At 37.0% G+C, this 27,024-nt stretch overlaps 1 protein-coding gene across 5 annotated transcripts in view, besides 1 other annotated feature; it reads left to right on the forward strand.

The window, feature by feature from the left end:
- The window catches only part of PPM1L (protein phosphatase, Mg2+/Mn2+ dependent 1L), a 322,672-nt gene that overhangs the window by 132,634 nt on the left and 163,014 nt on the right, over positions 1-27,024 (forward strand). The gene's annotated exons all lie outside the window — the stretch shown is intronic.
- Positions 22,537-22,831: a silencer, noted in NCBI's record as "tiled region #1323; K562 Repressive non-DNase unmatched - State 24:Quies". NCBI's record gives its function as "represses a minimal TATA promoter and a strong SV40 promoter by Sharpr-MPRA in K562 cells {active_cell/tissue: K562}" and the evidence as "EXISTENCE:reporter gene assay evidence [ECO:0000049][PMID:27701403]".

Consider the following 27,024-nt stretch of genomic DNA (forward strand, 5'->3'; position numbering starts at 1 on the left):
ATGACTCCTGGATAAATAATGAAATTAGGGCAGAAATAAAGAAGTTCTAAATGAAGAAGAAATAAAGGAATAAAGAAGAAATAAAGGATGGAGAACAAAGAGACAATGTACCAAAATCTCTGGGACACAGCTAAAGCAGTGTTAAGAGGGAAATTTATAGCACTAAATGCCCACATCAGAAAGCTAGAAAGATTTCAAATGAACACCCTAACATTACAATTAAAAGAGCTAGAGAGGCAGGAGCAAACTAATCCAATAGCTAGCAGAAGACAAGAAATAACTAAGATCAGAGCAGAGTTGAAGTAGATAGAGACATGAAAAATTCTCCAAAAATAATCAATGAATCCAGAAGTTGGTTTTTTGAAAAAATTAATAAAATAGATAGACCACTAGCTAGACTAATAACGAAGAAAACAGAATAATCAAATAGAAACAAAAAATGATAACGGGGATATCACCACTGACACCATAGAAATACAAACTACCATCAGAGAATACTATAAACACCTCTACACAAATAAACTAGAAAATCTAGAAGAAATGGATAAATACTTGGACATATACACCCTCCCAAGACTAAGTCAGGAAGAAGTTGAATCCTTGGATGAGACCAATAAAAAGTTCTGAAATTGAGGCAGTAATTAATGGCCTACCAACCAAAAAAAGCCCAGGACCAGATGGATTCACAGCTGAATTCTATTACAGGTACAAAGAGGAGCTGGTATCATTCCTTCTGAAACTATTCCAAACAGTTGAAAAGGAGGGACTCCTCCCTAACTCATTTTGTGAAGCCAGCATCATCCTGATACCAAAACTAGGCAGAAACACACGCAAAAAAACAAAACTTCAGGCTAGTGTCTCTGATGAACATCGATGCAAAAATCCTCAATAAAATACTGGCAAACTGAGTTCAGTAGCATATCAAAAAACGTATCCACCACAATCAAGTCAGCTTCATCCCTGGGATGCAAGGCTGGTTCAACATATGCAAATCAATAAACATAATCCATCACATGAACAGAACCAAAGACAGAACCACATGATTATCTCAATAGATGCAGAAAAGGCCTTGATAAAATTCAACATCCTTTCATGTTAAAAACTCAAACTGGGTTTTGATAGAACATATCTCAAAATAATAAGAGCAATTTATGACAAACCCACAGCCAATATAATATTTAATGGGCAAAAGTTGGAAGCATTTCCTTTGAAAACTGGTACAAGGCAAGGATCCCCACTCTCACCACTCCTGTTCAACATAGTATTGGAAGTTTTGGCCAGAGCTATCAGGCAAGAGAAAGAAGTAAAGGGTATTCACATAGGAAGACAGGAGGTCAAATTGTCTGTTTGCAGACAACATGTTTTTATATTTAGAAAACCCCATCATCTCAGCCCAAAACTCCTTTAGCTTATACGCAACTTCAGCAGTCTCAGGATACAAAATCAATGTGCAAAAATCACAAGCATGCCTTTACACCAACAATAGACAAGCAGCGAGCCAAATCATGAACTCCTATTCACAAATTGCTACAAAGAGAATAAAATACCTAGGAATACAGCTAACGAGATGTGAAGGACCTCTTCAAAATACACCACACTACTCAAGGAAATAAGACAGGACACAAAGGGAAAAACATTTCATCCTCATGGATAGTAAGAATCAATATTGTGAAAATGGCCATAGTGCCCAAAGTAATTCATATATTCAATGCTATTCCTATCAAACTACCATTGACATTCTTCACAGAGTTAGAAAAAACTACTTTAAATTTCATGTGGAATCAAAGAAGACCCCATATAGCCAAGACAATCCTAAGCAAAAAGAACAACCTGGAGGCATCATGCTACCTGACTTCAAATTATACTACAAGACTACAGTAACAAAAACAGCATGGTACTGTTACCAAAACAGACATATAGACCTATGGTACAGAGGAGACCTCAGAAATAACGCCACACATCTACAACCATCTGAGCTTCGACAAACCTGACAAAAATAAGCAATGGGGAAAGGATCTCCTATTCAATAAATGGTGCTAGGAAAACTGGCCAGCCATATGCAGAAAACTGAAACTGGACCCCTTCTTTACACCTTATACAAAAATTAACTCAGGATGGATTAAAGACTTAAATGTAAAACCCAAAACCATAAATCCCCTAGAAGAAAACGTAGGCAGTACCATTGAGGACATAGGCATGGGCAAAGACTTCATGATGGAAACACCAAAAGTAATTGCAACAAAAGCCAAAATTGACAAATGTGATCTAATTAAACTAAAGAGCTTCTGCACAGCAAAAGAAACTATCATCAGAGTGAACAGGTAACCTTCAGAATGGGAGAAAATGTTTGCCATCTACCCATCTGACAGAGGTCTAATATCCAAAATTTACAAGGAGCTTAAACAAATTTACAAAGAAAATTTAAAGAAAAAAAACAACCCCATCAAAAAGTGGGCAAAGAATATGAACAGAATATTTCAAGAATGTCTTCTTGAAAGAAGACATTCATGCAGCCAACAACTATGAAAAAAAGCTCAGCATCACTGATCATTAGAGAAATGCAAATCAAAACCATAATGAGATACCATCTCACACCAGTCAGAATGGTGATTATTAAAAAGTCAGGAAACAATAGATGCTGGCAAGGCTGTGGAGAACAAAGGAATGCTTTTACACTGTTGGTGGGAGGGTAAATTAGTTCAACCATTGTGCAAGACAGCATGGCGATTCCTCAAGGATCTAGAACCAGAAATACCATTTGACCCAGCAATCCCATTACTGGGTATATACCCAAAGGAATATTAATCATTCTACTATAAAGACACATGCACACGTATGTTTATTGCAGCACTATTTACAACAGCAAAGTCATGGAACCAACACAAATGCCCATCAGTGATAGACTGGATAAAGAAAATGTGGTACATGTACACCATGGAATACTATGCAGTCATAAAAAGGATGAAATTATGTCCTTTGCAGGAATGTGGATGAAGCTGGAAGCCATCATCCTCAGGAAACTAATACAGGAACAGAAAACCAAACGCCACATGTTCTCACTCATAACTGGGAGTTGAATAATGAGAACATATGGACACAGGGAGGGGAACATCACACACCGGGGCCTGTCAGGGGGTGGAGGGCTAGGGGAGGGATAGCATTAGGAGAAATATCTAATGTTGATGACGGGTTGATGGGTGCAGCAAACCACCACGTCACATGTATACCTATGTAACAAACCTGCGCGTTCTTCACATGTATCCCGGAACTTAAAATAAAATAAAATGGAAATATATGAGGCTGGATAATTTATAAAGAAAAGTTTAATTGGCTCACAGTTCTGTAGGCTATACAGGCATGGTGCTGGCATCTGCTTGGCTTCTGGGGAAGCCTCAGGGAGCTTTTATTCGTGGCAAAAGGTGAAGAGGGAGCAGGCACATCACATGGCGAGAGCAGGAGCAAGGCTGGGGGAGATACCACACATTTTTAAATGACCAGATCTCATGAGGTCTCACTCACTATGGCAAGGACAGAACTAAGACATGAGGAATCCACCCCCATGACCCACACATCTCCAACCAGGCCCTACCTCCAACACTGGGGATTAAATTTCAACATGAGATTTGGACTGGACAAATATCCAAACCATGTCAGTGAATATATTTTAGAGTTTAAAAGTCTGTTTCTAAGCTTAACTTTGATATGAATAATTTAAACACACATGAATGTGCCTTCAAACCAAACTATACAATGTGTAAAAACCCCTTCGTTCCACATTGGGGTTTCGTATTATGAAATATAAAAAAGAAAAAAAAAAGAAATACGTTATTTGGCTCAGAATTATCAAGAATCTGCTCTGCAACTAATATTACTTCTCACTACACATTTCTTTTTATTTCTCAGATTCTTAGCACTTTTTGAGAGATCAGAGAAAAGATAAATTTAAAGATTTTACTACTTGTTATCATCTCTAGATGCGAAGGAGATTACAATTAATCATTAGATTCACAGAATTCATTGATAATAAAAATTATTATTCTTTTGGCCATATAACAGGATTTCTGTTTCTAATGTAGGTGTTTGATATTTTAACAAAGATCCCTATGTTACTTTTTCTTAATAGTTTTCAGTTGGAATGATATACATGTCATATATATATAACTGGAGTTAGAATGTTATATTGTACAATCATTGCATATATAAAGGTAATATAAGGTAGACCTAAGAAGGCCATTTGCAGTAATACTTGGAAGCAAAATTTCTTAACTTCCTGATGAAGAACCTTAAAATATGTTGAACTTGCTTTCCTCTCATCATCAAATTGCACATACTTCCTGTTAGAAATGTTAACATCTCTCCTTATTTTTGTGAGGGACAAATATTTTCTCTGTATAGAAGGCAGGGAACCAATATAGGGAAATTCCTAAAGGAATGTGTGTAAGTTGCCAGCATTCATACCTCCTGAGATGTTTCTAAAAGCATCATGAATAGTATATAGTGAACATCTTCCCTCCAGCTGAGCTTTTGAAATAGCTCACTCAGCATTTTTGTTTAACAATATCCCTGGGACATAAACCAAATAGCATTTCCTATTCAGTCTCATCTGTCATTTTCCTGATTTCACAACCAGCCTCCAGATGTCAAAATATGAAGGTGAATGTGAATGAAATTGTTTTTCTATCAGAGCTCCCTAAATGAAATAGACCAAGATTATCCTGTACCCCTGATGCCCCAATAAATTGGTCAGTCGTCCCAAAGTAAAAGCTTGACCCCATGAGTTTCTAAATCATTTCCAACGTGTATTGTAGTTTAAAACAAAAAATTATGCTATACTTGAAGGCCATTTTAGCTGAGTTATAAAATTTGCTTCTATAAATCTTGCCAGAGTAAAATGGGCCTTGGATAATCATCAAAACAAATACAGATGGTCCCTGACTTATGATGGTTCAACTTATAATTTTTCTACTTTGTGGTGGTACAAAAGCAATACCATTTAGTAGAAACCAAGCTTCAAATTTTGAATTTTGATTTTTTCCTAGACTAGGGATATGTGGTATGATACTTTTACATGAGATAGTCAACACTTTTTTATAAAATAGGGTTTGTGTTAGATGATCTTGCTCAACTAGGCTAATGTAAGTGTTCTGAGCACATTTAAGGTAGGCTAGGCTAGACTATGTTGTTCAGTAGGTTAGGTATATTAAATACATTTTTGACTTATGATATTTTCAATGTATGATGGGTTTATCAGGATGTAACTGCATCGTGAGTTAAGGTGCAGTTGTATTCTAAGACCTCTACAAAAAACATTGACAGCCTATTGCTGTTTTAATATCTGTGGGATTGCATTCTTACAATTTAGATGTAGATTTAGATTAGATTTAGACCATTGGTTTCTGTTTCCATTACAACCACTTAATATATAATATGAATCTGGCTCCAAGGCATGGGAGAAACATGTAAAAGTGCACTGTCAAACACCATATGTAACTGTTGGCTATATTGATTTTGTGGCACTTATCTATTCTGTGTGCATTTAGGTTTTTGAAGTATGCAAGTTTTATCATATTCTACTGGGAAAAATGGCTGATGTAGTCTTTTGAATGGCCCCTCACACACCACAAAGCTTGGGAATTCTAGATTCAAATAATTTTTAGGAAAGAAGGACTCCTAAATATTACCTATTTGAGTTGTTTGTTTTTTCAGAGGCCTGGAAAGGTAAGATGCCTTGCCCAAGATCACAAAGCCAGTTAGTGGCAGAGCTGAGTTAGGAACCCTGTAATTCCCAGATACTCAGTTTATTATTTATTCTTCAATTCATTCTTTAGGAATCTTTATTAGCAATAGCATCAACAATCACAAAACATGCTTGTTTTGCCCATTTTGGTTGGTGTACTCTTTCAGTTTTTTCCATAAAAAGTATACTCAGTAACAAATCTGCCTTCAGCATAATTTCCCATAATCAAACATCATGATTAATTTTAAAGTATGAATCTAATGATTTTGGCACTCTAGATTCTTGTGATATTTTACTTCACTTTGTATAAACTTAATTTATTTATCTGTTTTGATTCCTTTTTACTGAGTTATATATCTTCCACCTTTTTTCCTATACCTTTTATTAAACTGTGCCTTGGAGAAGAAAATGGATTTTTCATAGCTTGTATTCTGTGTTACAGTCACATTATTGCTTAAAAATAGAGGTTAGATGTAACCAGGGACATTACTGTAGTATAGCCAACTTGGAATTTCTTCCTCCTTTGGTGAGCTGATGGGAAAAGCTCTTGACTTGCCATTGGAAGACCTGGCTAAATTCCTGCAGTGCCACATTTCACCCATTTGTGGGGTTTTTTTGTTTGTTTTTTAGAGACAGGATCTCATTCTGTTACCCAGGCTGGGGTGCAGTGGCATAATAATAGCTCATTGGAGCTTTAAACTCTTGGGCTCAAGCAATCCTCCCACCTCAATCTCCTGAGTAGCTGGGACTACAGGTGTGCACCACTGTGCCTGGCTAATTTTTTTTGTTTGTTTTTTATAGAGACCAGGTCTTGCTATATTGCCCAGGCTGGTCTCAAACTCCTGGCTTCAAGCAATCCTCCCACCTTGGCCTCCCAAAGTAATGGGATTACAGGCATGAACCACCATGCCCAGCCCACCTGCTGTTTTAATTTGGGTCATCACTAACCCCTCTGAACCTTTTTCATGATAGATAGAATGGGAATAATACTTGTCTATTTTGTGTCTTGGAATGTGACCCTCATAGCAATTCTGAGAAATTTATAAAGGAGTACTTTGTTTTGTTTGTGGTTCTTGATCCTTTGGTTATCTTCTTTTAATAGGGACATCAAGAGTGTCACCTCAAACCCCCAATATCTGTTGGTGAATAAAAAGGTGATGATGGAGAAAATGTTTTATAAATTGAAAAATGCAGTCTAAAGTGGTCTAATATTGTTACCAAGTAATCCCCAAAAGTTTTTAAATTGGTACCTAGGGATCAAGAAACTGCTTCACTCTATTTGCTGTGCTTTCTTATCTTTCAAAATTTTACCCTTCCATAAAGACACCTTTCAAATGCTTGATTTCTCTTTTGTCTTTTCTGATTCACCTTCTCCCTACCCCAACATTAGCTTGGATCTCATGTTCATTTATTTTTTACTTAGTCCAGAACTAGAATGATAGCAACTTTAGGGACTGCTCTCATGAAGCATTTGAAGGAGGAGAAGGCCTTGCATATGATAGTTGCTTAGTAATATCTCTTAAAGTGAGATTTAGGGAAAATGCATTTTTTAGCGTTATCAATTTCTTCCTTATAATTTTACTTTGAATTACTTATTTAAAGTTTAAATAATAGTGTATGGGAAAAAAATCTTTATTTTTAAACGCCTTCTAGTATGTATTCTTTTATGGGCTGGAATTTGAATGGTTGAAAACAGTAGCATTTTAGAGGATTAAAATTTATAAATTAATTTATCTAAACATCTTTTTTGAAAACCTTCATTTAAAAAATCTATTTTCCATTTATATTTTTCATTTCTCTCTAGGTGATCATATTTAAGTATTGTAAGTTAAGGACCTGGGCAAATAATTCCTCAAAAATTATATTAATTTATTTTTAAAAGGAAGTTTATTCACTTACTCACGGCAAACCAACTTTAAAGATAAAAATGTGTTGCCTTAAAGACTGAAGACATGTTCAAGATGGCAAAAAGAGTCTTCCTACCCCTTTTAAAAAGTAAATGCAGAAGCCGTTGTGAGCAGTGATACTTCATGTTTTGTTTTCCAGTAGTAGAAGTGTTTTAAAATGATAAGTGTTCTTTAAAATGTTATGGTCAAAAAGAAAAGATATTTATTGGCTGGGAGACTTGGGCTTCTGATAGCTTTGCCTGGAATTATGATGGAAATTTTGACAGAATCATAACTCAAGTTGACATTAATGGGAATCACTTCCTTATGATTTTGTGTAGCCTAATAAAAAGGTCATTTGAAAATTTTAGATAATCAGATGGTTTAATGGCCAAGTAGAAATAGCACTTTATTTTTTGTGTGTTAATCTTTGGGTGCTTCCACTAAATGTAGATTTAGTGTGTGTCTTTCCTTTGACTGTTAACACCTCTTACAGCTATAGTGATTGCTAGTCTAGTCACAGTCAGTGGCTGACATTTCTATGACTACTGACTCTTTTTTTTTTTTTTTTTTTGAGATGGAGTCTTGCTCTTTCACCAGGCTGGAGTGCAGTGGTGTGATCTTGGCTCACTGCAACCTCCACCTCCCGGGTTCAAGTGATTCGCCTGCCTCAGCCTCCCGAGCAGCCAGGATTACAGGCGCCTGCCACCACACCCAGCTAATATTTGTATTTTTAGTAGAGATGGGGTTTCACCATGTTGGCCAGGATGGTCTCGATCTCTTGACCTCGTGATCCACCCGACTTGGCCTCCCAAAGTGCTGGGATTACAGGTGTGAGCCACCGTGCCTGGCCAACTACTGACTCTTATAAAGATTTATTACCAGATGATGACATTGCTCCTGATGTCTCTAACTAGGTGGTCCCCCTTCACTTTTCTTAGTCTTCTGCCATGACCCCTCCCTGTACCTCTATAGTGGAAGTGGTTCACATTAGTTCGTCCTTAACCTTAATTCTAACATAAATGAATGTGGAATACCGCAAAGAGACCAAAAGAGCTAGCTGTATGCTAGCACTGGCTCTGACAGCTAACAAGCTTTAAGGCTTTGAGCAAAGGACTTCTCCTCTCCAGATTTCTTTTTCCTGATTTGTAATATGTGCATTGGATTAGGTGATCTCAAAGATACCTCTCCCTTCTAAGATTTTATATTCATCAAAATTCATCTGCCAGAATGGCACTGTGATAATTAGATAGACTGCCAGCTGGATGCAGGGAAATAGCAGAGCTAAAAGCTCCAGTCTAAACTATCCCTGGTGAATATTCATTTTTGCATATTTTAATAACAATACTCTCAGTGTCTCACCTCCACCCAGTCACTCTTGCACCCTGTCACTCACTTAGCAAGACCCTTTCTTTTCCTTCACGTTTTACAACTCTGTAATTTAACAAAATCCATTAGTACCAACAAAATGGAGTAACAGTGATGTTTTAATATATGGCATGTACCCTTAATATCATTACTAGTATTTGAGAAACTAAATGAAAGATTTTTAACTTTGACTTTTAAGGAAGAAAAAAAAATCACCTTTCTTTATTTAATGAGTAAAAAGGACCTCCAGTAAAGAGTAATGCACCATAATTGTTATTCACTTCACACTCATTCCTTTTTTTGGCATGCAGAGCCTCATATATTCTTAAGCATAAAATGCTGGATGACATATTAAATGAAGGGTCATTCTGGAAAATAAAATAGACAAAATGGCTTTACTCTCAAAGATAATTGTGAAGTAAAAACCAAAATAATAGCTTATTCATAACTATTTGGAGGCCTTTCTTAAGTCCAGAAAGGTCAGAGGGAAATTGAATAAATGTCAACACTGTCAGGTGGGGAGACTCTCAGCGTCTCCTGAGGAATTTAATTTATATTAATGAGAAGTGAGACCTGCTTAGGGCCCTCTCAGAGACTGCTCTGGTGTCAAATTTTAATGATTTAACTTCATGAAAAGGATTCCTAACAAGTTATCCAACAAGATAACCTCACATAAGATTGCTTTTTAATTGTGAGGCCTCAATTGCTCTGACCTCCCCAAACCACAGGCACATGTTGGGGCTTCTTGAGGACTTGCCTCACCAAGTCGATAACTTGCCGTCAGTTCTGGCCCTTCTAGGGGACCAGGTGAACCAAGTGAGATTCTGACGATAAAGTTCTAATTCAATTCAGCAGACATTCATGAAGACCTATCACTGGGGCAATGTGTGAGTGACAATAGTAGGTGCCACTTATGAACACTTAATGTGTGTCAGGCTCCCTGCTCAACGTTTTATGTTCCCAATTTCTAATCTTCATAGCAACGTTACAGAATTACAGATGTGGAGAAGGAGACTCAGAGACATTAAGTTAACATGCTCAAGATTATAAGTATTGCCAAGTAGCTAGCAGAACCAGGATTCGTTAGGTCAGTTTGCCTCCCAAATCCATGGCTTTCTGCTACTCACCTATGTCTTAGGTTTTTTTCTTTACTCATCTAACGTTCCAGTGTTCATAATAGCTTTCCTTTGTCTAGCTATGTTCCAGATACTGTGCTGGGTGTTTTATTATGTAAACCTACTGAATAGATGATAGTAGCCCCACTAATGAAAAAGGAGGGATGGAGGATTCAGCAGCTTGCCCCAGATCACACAGGTAGAAAATGGCAGGGCTAAAATTCTAACTGAGATCTAACTGATCTTCCAAACCTATGCTCTTACGATTAGAGAACAGTGACTTTAACAGTGCTGTGCCCTGAGGTGATACAGAAGTGTTAAAGCAGGCCTGTTCACTCTGATAGCTGAAAAGTCCACTGGGTTGAGATGGACTTGGACTCAAGTGTCTGTAAAGCCAAGCAGAATAAATGTGAAATGAAGTGATTTTGAAAAGATGTTGGGGAAGTACAGGGGTAAGGAAGATTAATTCCAAATAGAAGGCACAGAATGGTTTTGCCAATGAATTGGATTTTAAAATACAAAGAATGAAAGAAAACACATTTCAGGCAGAGAAACTAGTTTTCCCTTGAGTAAGTACAGCTTTGGTCACTTCACTTAGGTTTGGATGTATAGTGTTTTTGTTGTAATTTCAAGTAATTAGTAACTTTAGTTTTAATTTTCTCATTGGCTCATGACTTATTTAATAGTTGTCAGAATCTTTAATTTGTTAGTTTTGTGTTATTTAATAAGTTATTTTTATTTGTACTGCCTTTGGGTTGGAGAAAATAACTGAGTCATTAGTTTATGAATTTATTAAGGTTTTCTATGTGGCCTGTGAAATGACTGATTTTTATAAATGTTTCATGGATATTTGAAGTGAATATTTAAATGTAGATGAATTTTCTAAAGAGTGAGTGTGAAGGTAGAAACTTGTTTATTAGATTATTTGAATCTTCACATATTTTTTCATTGTCTGATGAGCTAACAAATTATCACACAAGAATCTCCTACTTGTATTTTGGGTTCAAAGGCTTTTTCTCATATTCTTGGTTTTTACTTCATGTAATTGATGATGTGTGTTTTGGTATATATAACTTTGTGATTATTATGTCTTCTTGGATTATACCTATTATCAATATAAAATATCCATCTTTGCTGTATTTTTTTTGCTTTAAATTCACTCTGTTATGAATATTGTTAGAGCGAATTCAGTTTATATAACAGATAAATTGTTGCCCACATTTTTCTTTAGAGTTGTCTTTTATATTAACAGGTTTCTACTCCATCAGATGGTCTTTTAAACAATTTTACCAACAAACATTTATTTTGATTGCTCATATGATTGATTTTATTCCTGACATTTTATTTTGTGTTTTCTGATGCTTTTTTGGTATGTTTTCTTTTAGCCTCCTTTTCTTTCTTTGACTTTATTGATTTTTTAAAAATGCTTTAAAACTATATTTTCTTTCCTACTAGCAGCAGCCTTTTAATCAATACCTACATACTTTATCAATATTAAAAATGAAAATATCCATGGGCTCCAACCGAACAAGAAAACATATTTAACATGCTTTGATTTATCCTTTTTATTCCCCTTCCTTCAGTGCTTCAAGTGTTTTATGGAAATAATATGAGATTTTATTTCCACATCATTATCTATATAGGTGTACTTTACCTATACGTTTTGTCTCTTAAAAATATTATAATGTGGCTATATTTATAGCCACATTATAATAATTACATGTATTTAACTTTGAGTTTTACTGAGTTCATTGTTCACTACCATTTCTTGCCTGCTATACACTCCTTTCTTGAGTTTTTGTTTGAGTTAATTTCTCATTTCATCGCAGTATTTCAAGTAATTTTTCCAGAAAATGTAAATGGGTGAACAGTATGATGATACTGTGTCATCAGTGACCTGCATATTGCTAAATCTAAATGATCAGTTCTTTGTCCTCACCTTTCTTAAGCTCTCAGTAGCAACTGGCAAATGATTACTTTCTTGTCTTCATTTGGCTTTTAAGATACCAGTTTCTTTTGGTTCTTTTAGCTCAATGGACACTATTTCTTGACTTGCTTTTGTTCATCTCCCCAGTTTCTTAATGTTAGGCTATCCCAGGGCTCGTTCCTCAACTCTCTTTTCTTCTGTTTACTTGTGTTCTCTAGGTGATTCCATCTAGGTTCGTGGCTTTGCATGTCATCGGTATAAATCCAAAGTTTACATCTTTAGCTCAGACCTCTCCTGTGACTGCATGTTTCCCATTGTATACTTTATATCTGAGACTTAACATGCTCCAAAATGAAGTCCTGGTCTCCCCACCCAAACCTGAACTTTCCTAAATATTATTATCCATCTATTACTATTATAACATAGCCTCCTAGTTGGTTTCTCTACTTCCATCTTTGACCCTCCACACCCCATTCTCTGACACAGCAGCCAGTCAGCATCCATTTCTTCAAAGGTTCATGTTTTTATAAGGGTCTACAGGATCTGCATCGACCTCACACTCTAAACTCATCTTCCCCTAAAATTCTCCTCCTCACCCAGTCATATTGGTCTACTTGCTATTCTTCCCTCACAGCAAGTGTTTATTTAAATGTCTTCACACATGCTGTTTCTTCTATCTGAATGCCTTCCCCCAGATTTCTACACGGCTTCCTCCCCCACTTACTTCAGGACCCTGCGCATAGGTCACCTTATCTCAAGCGCTTGAATATGCCTCATATGATGTAGCTCCTTGGTACATACTTGTTGATGTCTGTGGGGATAGGCAAAATGCCTTTTGTCATGTTTGGGTCTAGTATTTTACATCCTCATTCTTTTTTCTTAGAATTCTGATCAGACCAATTATTGAGAAGCTTTTGGGAAACACTGTTTATCTTTCCTCATAGGGTGTGGAAAATCTCTTCTGTGCTAGTTTTGGGTGCCAGGCAGCTTTGCATTATTTGTTTTTGCGTAAGTTGGTCTCATTTGTTCATTTTGTCAAAAAAATCCTTTTAAATTTCTGATTTATGGTTTCCTAATTTTTCAATGCTATATTTCTTTTTATAATTATTTTTGTTATTTCCATAGGATTTTTGAGAAGGATGGGAGGTAAATGTGTAGGGCCAATTCTGAATCTTTAAAATAGAAATGCATAAAATGTGCTTGGCTCTGTTCATTCACAACCATACCTATCCATTTGAAAAATTAAGCATTTTTCTGTTTGTGTGTGTGTACGTATGTTTTAATTTATTGAGTCTGATTACAATGCCCACTTCTACATATGAATTTTCAGAGCCTCTTGTAATAGTTCCACAGCCCTAAAATTGGGAAACTATCTGCTATGAATATATAGCAGAAACATAGTCATTGGAAATGGTGGGCACATTGGTATCCCTAAAGAGTAGAGTAAAATTCATTTTCATCTAAAGGAACCCAATCCTCTTGTTTCACATTTAGAAATCATCTTATGTCATTCCCTGTTACTCTCACAGAAAATTCAGAGTAAGGAACACAGGTGGAGAAGAAATGGGCAGGCAGCTTTGCAGAGATGTTATCAAGATAACATTTTTCTTCACATTCTGTAGACTCTAGAGAAATGGTTTACAAGAGAGCTTTAAAGGTATTGTTTTAACATACATATGAGCTGTACTTATGTATGACACCTATTTTACTTTTTCATTTTTGTTGTTATTGTCAAAACAAGGCCAGTGTTTTTCTACATCGACTGAATTTCTGGACCCACTTCCCATTCAAACTGTTTTTTTGAAAAACAGTCTTATTAATTTTCTGTATATTTTGTTTTCTTTCCAACATTTTTAGATTCAACCATCAGACACAAATTTCTTTTTATATCTGCTTTGTTAGTTGTGGACATGCCTTTCTACCGTGTCCCTTGATACATACACCCATTAAGATGTTTATCTAGCTCGACTAACACTGAGTGCTGGAATCTGCAAAGTTACAGAATTGAGAGGATTTAGATCACATATCATTTACTCTGAAAAGAAAGAAAGGGCACAGATTCTGGAAACAGACAAGTTTGAACCCAGCCCTGCTACCTATAAACTGACTTGTGGGACCTTAGATAAGGTACATATCTTTAAAAAGGTGGATAGTAATACACACCTTGTTAGATTGTTGTAGAGACAGTGATACGAAATCATTGCCCAAGGTTAGGTGTGGAATAGTAGCTGTGTCAGTCAGGGTTGTCCAAAGAAATAGAAGCAATAGTGTGTGTGTGTGTGTGTGTGTGTGTGTGGTATGTGTGTATGTTTGTGTGTGTGTGTGTGTGTGTGTGTGTGTGTGTATTAAGAGACTTATTCTAAGGAATTGGCTTATGTGATTGCAGGAGCTGGCAGATCAAATTCTGTGGGGCAGGCCAGCAGGCTGGAAATTCAAGTGGGATTTCTTTGTTACAGTCTTGAGTAAGAATTCCTTCTTCCCTAGGAAAACTCAATTTTTGCTGTTAATGTCTCCAACTGATGGATAAGACTCACCCATATTATGGAAAGTAATAACTTTTACTTAAAATCATCTGATTGTGATATTGATCACATTCTCAAAATACCTTAAAAGCAACATCTAGACTAATATTTGACCAAAACAACTGATCACCGTAGCCTTACCAAGTTTACATATAAAATATACCATCAAAATATTTAATAAATGGTAGCTATTATTTTTAAAGATGGTATTTTCTATTACTTCAATTATTATTATTTTATTCCATAAACATCTCTTGAGGATCTACCACATACCAGGCACTGTGCTAGGTATGTGTGTGTGCACACATGGAGGTGGGGGAAAGGGAGAGGGATAAAGGTGGATAAGTTATACCACTTGTTCTCTAGGCGTCTATATTCCAATGGAAGAGACAAGTCAAAGGGAAATGATAATGTATTAGGAATTATGGATAGATATATAATACTGTAAATTATATATTTATGCTTTTGTATTGTATTTATTTATATTGATACCTATATTTATCTTGGTAAAATTCTGTCCATCTCTTCATCCTTCCATCCATTTATCCATCTAATCTGCAGGACCTTGTTTCCATTTTTGCCTTGAGTTGAAGGGAAGAGAAAAATTGTCTTGGATGAAACTACTCTGAATAAGCATTGGTTGATGTCAAGCAGGGGAATGAACCTCTACCATGATTATAATGAGTCAGGTAGCTTTGTTGTTTTATAAAGGTATTTCTAAAACCCTCTTCAGAAGCAATGCATAAGTAAAATAAGTTTTCTACGTGAACCAAGGCTAAAGCTCCACTCCCCTGCAGGTTTTGCGATTTTACTCTAGATAATATGTACTGTTTAATTATGGTTCATCCATATAATAAAATATTATGGGTCTGTTAAGTACTTTTAAAAGCATATATGATGTTCTTTCAATTTGTTAGGTAGAGGACATGACTGTAAAATATTACTTAGTATAATCTTTATATGCATTGAAAAAGACTGGAAGAAAATACACCAAAAACTTTACAGTAACTATTTTTGGACAGAGGGATTATGGTTGGTTTTGATTGATTGCTGTATATGTTTCTGTATTTCTCAAGTTTTCTAATTTGAATGTCCAAGTGTGGAAGAGGAACAGATGGTAAAGAGTATGGCTGTAGACTCTTGTATTGGGAAGATGAACTCAAGCAGGTGGGCCAAATTCTTATTGACCTTGCCTTGTTAAGGTATCAGTGCTACATTATTGATAGCTGCACTTATAACTAGATCTTCTATCATGTTCAATTGCAGTGTCTTATTATCATAGGCACATTATATTATGGGGGGAAGAGGGAGAGAGAGAAAGAGAGAGGGAGGGAGTGAAGGAAGGAGAGATAGAGAGAGAGAGAGGGAGAGAGAAAATGAAATTATCTTTCACAATATGAGAATCTATCTTTCACGATATGAGTGGCTCCCTATGCTATTCCTGGAGCCAGCCTGAGATGTGAGATGTGAACCTGCTGTTCCTCAGTTATATTGGTTGCCTTGTGTGTCTCATGTTGTGAGCCTCTTGCCATGCTGGGTGTGATTTTGGTGTTGAAAGATAAATGATTTTATAAAATATGATCCAACTTATTCATTTGGTTCACAGCAGAAAAATAAAGATCTGCTCTAGTACTGGAGGAGGGACTGGCTGAGTTGGACTCATTGAGCGATGTTACAATCTTTGTTTCCATGAACTTTTCTAAGGAATGTTAAGGGTAGTTTTGACTGTATGATTTGCTAATCCAACCTCATATATCTTTATTATACGAAATTTATTTTTGCATTTCCCTACCAGTTCCAATATATAAGTGTCTCTCTGAATAAATGTTCTTCCCATTGTGGCCCTACTTTGATACCACTATCTAATTATAGAGAGCATATTTTGCCAATGGTAATTCTTAATCTCATTATACTCTAACCTGAATTTGTTCATCTTGGAACATTATATTCTTACAGGTTGACACTGATTTATTGATAAGCTCTGAATATTAGCTTTCCAGTCTTTCAAATGCCCGTCTAATAGTTCTGAGATATATACTTTATTTAACTAGTTTTTTTGGTGATAGCCCCATCATTAAAGTTAAGCTTATATTAGATCAGTAAGTTTTAGGTCTAGGACTATCTTTGTTTAATACTTGTAATCAGAATCATAATCATAATATACTGATACTTTATATACATTGGAAGTGCCTTGTTTTAAGCGATTATAACAAGTGATTTTCGAGAGACAGATGCAGTTTATTTTAGTATACCAAAAGGAAGTCATCAAAATCTACAGATTGAAATACATCTAGCTTTTTATGTTATCTTTCATTAGTTCTTTCCCTTCCTTAGTTTAACACAGTTTTCTGTTCTTAAAATTCTAGTATTGGTTGACCCTATTCTCATTTGATTTTTGATGGGAAAAGTAGAACTAGACAAAACATTTTTTTAAAAATCACATTTTTTTCTAAGACTTTTTTCTTTTTATTTGAATGCTTTACATTTTAATTGCTCATTTAAACCTTTTAAAATCTTAGCCCTAGTTTTCCTTTATCCATCAGTTTTAGCCTTTCATTTCTATTGCTTCCTTTTGGGCTTCTATTCATTGAACAATTTCTAATTTTTACTAGTTTTCTTTCTTTCTATTTCCTGCCCTTTCTTAACATTATTATTATTATTTTTTTAGGAAAGACCATGTGTTCTGATTCTTTAAAATTTTATATTTTTCCCTCGGTGCTTTTCTATTGGATTCTACAAATTGTATTTCTATAGGAGTGTTCATTTTAAAAAACAAGGTGAGGTGTCTGGATCAGTATGTCTATTAGGTTATCTATTGCTGCATAACAACATACCCTAAAAATTAGCAGCTTAAAACAGCAAATATTTGTATAATAATTGTTGTGGATTAAGGACCCAGGCAGGCCAGGTGCAGTGGCTCACGCCTGTAATCCCAGCATTTTGGGAGGCCAAGGTGGGTGGATCACGAGGTCAAGAGATGGAGACCATCCTGGCCAACATCATGAAACCCCATCTCTACTAAAAATACAAAAATTAGCTGGGTGTGATGGCACATGCCTGTAGTCCCAGCTACTCAGGAGGCTGAGGCAGGAGAATTGCTTGAACCTGGGAGGCGGCGGTTGCAGTGAGCCAAGATCATGCCACTGCACTCCAGCCTGACAACAGAGTGAGACTCTGTCTCATAAAGAAAAGAAAAGAAAAGAAAAGAAAAGAACCCAGGCACAATTTACCTGGGTGCTTCTGACTCAATAGCTCTGATGAAGTTACAGTCAGGATGGTGGCTATGGCTGAATGCTCATCTGAAGGTTTGATGGGGTGGATTCACTTTCAAGCTCACTCATGTGGTTGTTGGCAGAAAAAATTTAATTCCTTGTGGGATATTGGACAGAGAGCCTGAATTTCTCACTGTTTGTTGGCTGGGGGCCTCCCTTGGTTCCTTGCCACATAAGCTTCCACAGAGCAGCTTACAACATGGCAGCTGATTTCCTTTAGAACAAGCAAATGTGAGAGCAAGACAGAGTACTTAAGATGGAAGCCATAGTCTTTTTATAACTCCAGAATAATCACTTTATCCATGCTTTATTTGTTAGAGGCAAGTCACTTGGTCCAGCCCATATGCAAGGAAGCAATTACATAAATAGCAGGGGCTCAGATTATTGGGGACTATTTTAGGGGCTGCTTACCATTATATGTGTTTTAGAAGCAGAATATGATACATACTTTAAAGCAACAAAAGCAGAGCTCCCTGGAACATGGAAGGCATGGAATATGGAAGGCAGTAGAAATACAAGTTTGAGATAATATCTCAGACTACAAGAGTAGAACAGTAGCAGGGCTTTGTAAAAATATAGATAGTGAGAAATAAATAGTTTAGGATGAAGATTAAAGAAAACTTTCTTATCAATATTAATTCTGGTCTACGTATTTTCTGTTCATTGAAGCTACCTAGCTTTTTGAAAGTAGTTAAAACAAATCACATCCAAAACTAAGAATAACTATGCAATTTATGTTCAGGAATTTATCATAACATTATTTTTAAAAATTTATGTGCATACATTTTTCTTTTTCTCTCAAGTTTATTTTTTATTTTCTGTGTACTTCTTCATTTCTCTTGGCAATATAGTGTTTTCCCTCTTGTATATATAAGTGTTTTGCTTTTAATTGCTGAGATTTTATCATAAACTATCTAGCCAAATTCCTTTTTAAGTATTGTCACTATGTTTAATGAATACTAAAGCGTGGCAGAGTTAAGGATAATCAAAAAGGGATGATAAAGTGTTCCTGGGCTAGCAACAGTGGGAAACTATCACTACCCCAAGCATGTAAGGGCAAGAGGAGGGAATCATGTTCCTGGAAACTAGCAGGAGCTGAACATATGACGGAGGGAATGCCCAGCTGGAGCAGGAATGCAGCCGCTGCTTGTGGTCTGTCAGGGAAGAATCCAAGGAGATGAATACCCCAACTTTGCTCTCCTCTTACCCTCTGATCTCTTGCCTCCCCTTGGCCAAACCTACGAGAATCCAGAAGGTAAGTGAGCCCAGTTGATGCAGGCTGTGCAGGTCAGCCTCTCAGGGCAGAGCCCAGCAGAGAAGAGAAAGGGAGAGAATGATTCTGAAGGGGCAAAAGGAGAATATTCAGCAAAGAAAGAAGTTTTTTTAATTCTTTGTATTGTCTGTGTTTGGCTATTAGCCTATTTGAATGTATCCACTGTCTAACTGTAAAAGTTTTGAGTTTTGGTTAGTCTTTCTACTCAAATGGCCCCATAATGGTTACAATCAAGTCTTCAAGAAACTTTGTTGTTGGTTTTCTTTTTTAAGTAGTAGGCTATATTTATATTATGTTTTATTTATGATCACAAGCATGGTGTAAGAGTGCTTTTACTGTGGAAGTTTGACTTTAAAATGGCCTACCAAGAAGGAATATGCATCCTCGTTACATTTGGAACTATAAAAATAAATACAGTGTTGTTCACACAAACAAATAATTTTTGCTGGATAGTTGTTTATCAGTTTCCTGGAGCCTTGTTTTATAAATACTCATAAACTTGGAGAAAAAGTCTACTTGAGAGAAGTTGACACTATATGTAGTCTGCTTATTACTACTTTCTTTTTTTTTAAAGTGTATCTTACATTTAGAAACAGATACTATAACATAGAAGCAAAGATGACTGATGAGATTTTTTCACCAAATATTTATGGAAACCTTCCACTTAATATGAACACACAGAGATAAATAGTGTAGGCGTATGGTGATTACCAAGACAGAGTCCTTGCTCTAAAACAGTTTACCACCAAGTAGGGTATTTAAGTGCATAAACAACTAACTGTAATGATGAGTAGTGTCCCATAAATACTGTCTTACAGGGACAGGTAATAGTATAGGAGTGCACAGAGTGATTTCAGAGAAGCTAGTGTTTGAGCTAAACCTTGAGTGGTGAATACAATTATGGTAGAGGAGAGGAGAATTCATTTTGGGCTTAGGGAATGGCATGAATAAGGCACAACTCAATAAAAATACAAATATGAAGGTGGGGTAAGAATTATTCAAGACCGAACCTTGGTGAACAACATATACAAGCAATGGCAAGAGTGAAGGGTGTTCAGAAACATGGTAGAAGATTAGGTTGCCAAGAGAGAACAGGGCTAAATTGTCAAGGTCCTGAGTGCTTTGCTAATAATTTTATGTTTTCTACATAGACCTTAGAAACGTTTTTGTAAAGGGGAGATAAATAATGGTAAGGTAAGGGATCAGCTCAAGATGGAAGAGAATGGGGCAGAGAGGCTTTTGGTGATAGTGTAGGAGGAATGAGGAGGAATTTGCATGAAGGAGGAAGAGGATTTGCCTGAAGGCCATGGCATGGGAAGGAAATGGAGAACATAGATATAAGACATCATAAGTGCTGATAATAGACTTGGGGGTTTCTTGATTTCTGTTTGGAGTAATTGGTAGAAGGTGAAGCTGTTACCTAAGAGACAGTAGAAAAGAAAGAGCCGGCTCTGGAAGGAAGTTAACAAATTCGATTTTAGACTTATTAAGTTTGAGGTATTAGCACTGGTCTAATGTAGATGTCCATTTAGATCCACTGGAAATTTTGTCTAGAGCTCAGGAGTTGCCTGGGTTCAGAATAGAAATCTGGGAACATAAGCCTGAAGATATTTTTAAAGCCATGAAAGTAAGCGAGCCCTCTCTTAAGGAGGGAGTTTAGCGTGAAAAAAGGACCAAACAGAGAACTGCCTACAGAGAGGTTGGACAAAAGTCCATTTAAAAAGACTGAGAAGAAGAAATCAAAGAACTAAGAGGAAAATCAGGGAACTGCAGTTGTCATAGAAGCCAAGGAGTCGGGGAGTTTTTAGAAGATTTTAGAACAATGCGACATTAAGAACTATGTTTATAGCAACTTGTAAATTAGTCCTTTCTTTTTCCCCCAGGAGCTTTAAATTCTGCCCATGTGGGTGGGTTGAGGGAGTCTTCAGAGTTTGTAGAAGTAGCTCTGGGTTTCTGAAAAATGTGAAGGTGATGTACTGACCTAGTTAATACCCCGTAATCCTGGGAGGAAGGAAGGGGCTGTGGCTGGAGTATTTATTTCTTGTCATGATAGGTCTTGTCATGAATATTAACTATTTACTCTTTGAAGTCACAAGTGAAAGAAGGGTCTGGCTGTTCTGTTTAAGCATGTCAGAAGAACAATAATGCTTACTATGATGACTTCTCAATCTTGAAATATATTCAGCGCTTGAAACTTTCTTTCCCTCCCTGTCCCCTTCCCCTTCCCCTTCCCCTTCCCTGTCCCTTTCCCCTTCCCCTTTCCTTTCCCCTTCCCCTTTCCTTTCCCCTTCCCCTTTCCCCTTCCCCTTCCCCTTCCCTTTCCCCTTCCCCGTTCCCTTCCCCTTCCCCTCCCCTCCCCTCCCCTTTTTGACAGAGTCTCACTGGTCACCCAGTCTGGAGTGCACTGGCACAATCTTGGCTCACTGCAACCTCCGCCTCCCAGGTTCCGGTGATTGTCATGCCTCAGCCTCCCCAGTAGCTGGGATTAAGGCATGCGCCACCACACCTGGCTAATTTTTGTATTTTTAGTAGAGACGGGGTTTTGCCATGTTGACCAGCCTCAAGTGAACTTCTGGCCTCAAGTGATCAGCCCACCTCGGCCTCCCAAAGTGTTGGGATTACAGGCGTGAGCTATCGCGCCTGGCCGGAGCCTGAAACTTTCAAGCTTTCAGTTTAATTCCATGGCTTTTATTTTCTTTTCCATTTTAAACCCAGTTATTTCCTGAATCTAATTTATTTATTTTTGTGTATATGTCTTTAAAAGGTTTCCTAACAATTACATTTGGTAAATAAGTTCTTATTAAGTGTTTCTTTTAGTTGTTGTGCTTTTGTTTATTGAGAGAAATTGAAATTTTTAAATTTTGCACCTTTATTGCAGGCTGCCACAGGTAATCAAGATGATATGCACCATGGTAAACAATTTCTTTGGAAATCCAAGATATTTCTTGAACTCGGGGATTCAGGAACTGAAGTTTGACCTTATCTTATTGTATAAATTACTTTAACATTATGGTACTTTTGTACCTCATTTGGAGATTAAAGAGCTTGACCAAACAAGATAGGTTAGCATCCAGTCACCTGTAATGAGGAAGGAGTTAGTTTTCATGTGTGATGCTTTGGGTATCAGGGATATGCATAGCTTCATAAATAACTGGGATTTTCATTGGTATTTTCCTACCGCAGGTGTACTATTTTGATATTAATAGTCTCATCCTTTGGATCTCTTACGTTTGGCAGAATATAAGTAAGAAATCTGAATAAAGGTGAATGTTCTTACATGTGTTCTTGGTAGAAGTATATGTCACTGTCAGAGTAATGAGATTGAGGGTGAGGTTGTATGTTATGTATCTCTGATGGAGATTTTGAGGGGTAGCCAGACAGGTCACCAATCCTCAACCATAGCTGTCTAGCACTGCCATAGGTTCTGCAGAGAGTTCTGCAGAGCAGACCTTCTTAGCAAATGCACCTTCTTCCTTGTGCTGGGCTTTGACCCCAGAGCCTTCCATGGAAGCTATAGGTCTAGTGGGTTGGCCTCAACCACTTGTGAGTGAGTATTCCCTTTATCCTTCTGGCCTATGACTTAGACTAAAAGAAGTCTGCCTGGGCTCCTTTTACTGAGGTCTAATTTTTATCCTTGGATTCCTGCCATTCCTATGCAATGAGAAAAACAAACCCCAGGGGGAGAGAAAGAGAGTGTACTAGCATTGCCTTCTAGCCTAGACCCTCACAAGACAGGAGTCCTGCCAAGCAAGACACAGCCTTTTCACATATGGGAGTAGGCAATTCAAAGGAGGACCAGTAACTTCTAGTGATGCAGATAGAGGAATCCAAAAGGAGCACACAGAGTGGATCCAAGAAATTTAACTGTACCACTTCCTAACATGTAAACCATTTGGCATTGGTTCCATACTAATGCCAATTCATCTGCTTCTCGGAGTGATGGAGGAGGAGTGTTGAACCCTGAGAGTAGTTTGTATCTCTGCATTCAAGAGAGAAAACAAGAGAAGCTGGTAGAAAAGGCTTCTCAATTTGTGAGATTAATCTGTGTTACATCAGAAGTAGTGAGAAAGGAGAGTTAGGATTTAGAAGGCTTGGGAAGACCTGAATAATGTGGATAATGGTATGTGCAAAGCCATAAAATGTGTGGTTTTGATGAGGTTAGAATCATGCCTGAAAGCTGAATGGGGATTTAGACATCATGTGGGGTATGTAATCTGCAAGCTCCGTCCTGGGCCCAGTGAAAACCTTTCTGTGAGCTTTCCCTAAGGCTGTACTTCAGGCAAATTATTATACAAGGGGGAATCTATTTGCCATCTCTGAGCAAATCCATGCCTCCCTACCTACTATAGGTTAGGAAATAATCTTTTATATCTGTTGGTGTTGCATTTACAAAGGGCTTCCCCGTATATTATCACATCTAACTCTGCCTGTTAATCACAGAGGAATAAATCATGGCATCTGCAGAGTAGAGCCTCTACCAGGGTGTGTACTCTTCATACAACCATGGACCTGCCCTCTGTTAACAGGATTCTGTATTGGGAGAGCAAACCCTTAAAAGCAGGGATAAAGATATTAAGAGGTCTTCCTGTCTTTTACTAAGGTCTGAAATGCCACCAATTCTAGCAATTGATTTATCTGGATCCCCTAAGACCTTCTATTAGAGTGTGAATATCCATGCAAAAGAGTTATGGGCTCAGATTGAAGTGTGTCATGTAGAAATTGATGAAGAAGCGATAATTATAGCAGATTCATTGATAGTTTTATGTATGTACTAATTTACTTGATGTTATTAAGAAATTATGAAGTTTAGAGCATTGCTATAGTCACTGTGAGGATTAAAATGCTGAAAAATAAATGATCCCTTCCCCAAAGATTTTACAGTGTAGTAGGAGGTCCTCCAGTGAAGAAAGGGGGAGACTTTGGAAACAGAATGGCTGTAGGAAGTGATGAAGAATGATGTAGATAACCCTAAGCTTTCTTTTGTAAAAGTTACATTTGATAACCTCTTTGAGTTGTTCATTTGGTGGCATTACATACTGTGATGGGGTAAGATGAATATGAAACAGGTTATCATGGGATAGATGGGATGCCCTGTGGACAAAATCCATGAAGATGGTATATGAATTTTTGAAAATAGATGAGGTGTTCCTGGAGACATGATTAAAAGGAAGAAGAACAGAGGCTCAAGTAATAGCTCAAAGAGTTTTAGGCCCCCCAACAGGTAGAAGAGTTGGATTAATGGGTTTTGAAGGAGATAATGCACAAAAAGTTAAATTATGAGGTCACAGAATAGGTAAATTCTGTATTCTGGACAACAAGCAGGAAATCTAGCCCACCTTGGTGTAGACAGTGAACCCTGATGTCAGAGGTCGAAGAAAATCTGATTTCACCTATATTTTTTAGTTTTGTTAGCATGAAACTACTTTTTAAAATCACTTTATTGAGGCATAATTTATCCACAGTAAAACAAACCCATTTTAAGTACATTTCAGTGAGTTTTGATAAATGTATATAGCTGTATAAATACCACCACTATCAAGATCTAGACTTCAATTACTCCAAAATGTTTCTTGTGCCCCTTCCCAGTTATTCTCTACCCTGATCCTTGGCCCCAGGCAATCACTGCCCTCTGTCATTATAGATGTAAATTTGTCTTCTCTAGAATTTCATATTAATGAGATCGTATAATATGTACTCTTATATCTGGCTTTTTGGGGGATTCAGCATAATGTTTTTGAGATTCATCCATGTCGTTTTATATGTCAGTAGTTCATTCCTTTTCATTTCTGACTAGTATTCCATTGAATATACTACAATTCGTGTATTCATTCAGATACTGATGGACATTTGAGTTGTTTCCAGTTTTCTGACTACCATTAATTTCCAGTTTTTGACTACCATTAATCAAAGATATACATATCTTTGAGTACTCAAATATGTACATCTGAGTAGAAATATGTTTTCATTTTTCTTGGGTGAATAGGAGTGGGATTGCTAGATTGTATGTTAAGTATATGTTTAGCTTTATAACAAACTGACAAACTGTTTTCCAAAATGGTTGTATCATTTTTTTCTTATTCCTACCAGTAGTGTATGAAATTTCAAGTTCTTCCACATCTTTGCCAACACTTGGCGTAGACATTCTTTTTAATTTTAGTCATTCTAATAGGTGTGTATTGGTATATCATTGTGTTTTATTTTTCATTTCTTTGGTGACTACTAATATGCTTGGTGGCCATTCATACATGTATTTTTGTGAAGCATCTGTTCAAATCTTTGATTTTTTTTACTGTGTTATTTGACTTCTTAGTATTGAGTTGAAGGAGTTCTTTTTTTTATTATACTTTAAGTTTTAGGGTACATGTGCACAACGTGCAGGTTAGTTACATATGTATACATGTGCCATGTTGGTGTGCTGCACCCATTAACTCCTCATTTAACATTAGGTATATCTCCTAATGCTATACCTCCCCCCTCCCCCCACCCCACAACAGGTCCCGGTGTGTGACGTTCCCTTTCCTGTGTCCATGTATTCTCATTGTTCAATTCCCACCTATGAGTGAGAACATACAGTGTTTGGTTTTCTGTCCTTGCGATAGTTTGCTGAGAATGATGGTTTCCAGCTTCATCTGTGTCCCTACAAAGGACATGAACTCATCATTTTTTATGGCTGCATAGTATTCCATGGTGTATATGTGCCACATTTTCTTGATCCAGTCTATCATTGTTGGACATTTGGCTTGGTTCCAAGTCTTTGCTATTGTGAATAGTGCCGCACTAAACATATGTGTGCATGTGTCTTTATAGCAGCATGATTTATAATCCTTTGGGTATATACCCAGTAATGGGATTGCTGGGTCAAATGGTATTTCTAGTTCTAGATCCCTGAGGAATTGCCACACTGACTTCCACAATGGTTGAACTAGTTTACAGTCCCACCAACAGTGTAAAAGTGTTCCTATTTCTCCACATCCTCTCCAGCACCTGTTGTTTCCTGACTTTTTAATGATCGCCATTCTAACTGGTGTGAGATGGTATCTCTTTATGGTTTTGATTTGCATTTATCTGATGGCCAGTTGGAAGTTCTGGCCAGGGCAATCAGGCAGGAGAAGGAAATAAAGGGTATTCAATTAGGAAAAGAGGAAGTCAAATTGTCCCTGTTTGCAGGTGATATGATTGTATATCTAGAAAACCCCATCGTCTCAGCCCAAAATCTCCTTAAGCTGATATGCAATTTCAGCAAAGTCTCAGGATACAAAATCAATGTGCAAAAATCACGAGCATTCTTATACTCCAATAATAGACAAACAGAGAGCCAAATCATGAGTGAATTCCCATTCACAATTGCTTCAAAGAGAATAAAATACCTAGGAATCCAACTTACAAGGGACGTGAAGGACCTCTTCAAGGAGAACTACAAACCACTGCTCAATGAGATAAAAGAGGGATACAAACAAATGGAAGAACATTCCATGTTCATGGGTAGGAAGAATCAGTATCATGAAAATGGCCATACTACCCAAGGTAATTTATAGATTCAATGCCATCCCCATCAAGCTGCCAATGACTTTCTTCACAGAATTGGAAAAAGCTACTTTAAAGTTCATATGGAACCAAAAAGGAGCCCGCATTGCCAAGTCAATCCTAAGCCAAAAGAACAAAGCTGGGGGCATCATGCTACCTGACTTCAAACTATACTACAAGGCTACAGTAACCAAACAGCATGGTACTGGTACCAAAACAGAGATATAGACCAATGGAACAGAACAGAGCCCTCAGAAATAATGCTGCATATCTACAACCATCTGATCTTTGATAAACCTGACAAAAACAAGAAATGGGGAAATGATTCCCTATTTAATAAATGGTGCTGGGAAAACTGGCTAGCCATATGTAGAAAGCTGAAACTGGATCCCTTCCTTAC

This window comes from Homo sapiens, chromosome 3, assembly GCF_000001405.40.
Source record: "Homo sapiens chromosome 3, GRCh38.p14 Primary Assembly".
NCBI lineage: Eukaryota > Metazoa > Chordata > Mammalia > Primates > Hominidae > Homo > Homo sapiens.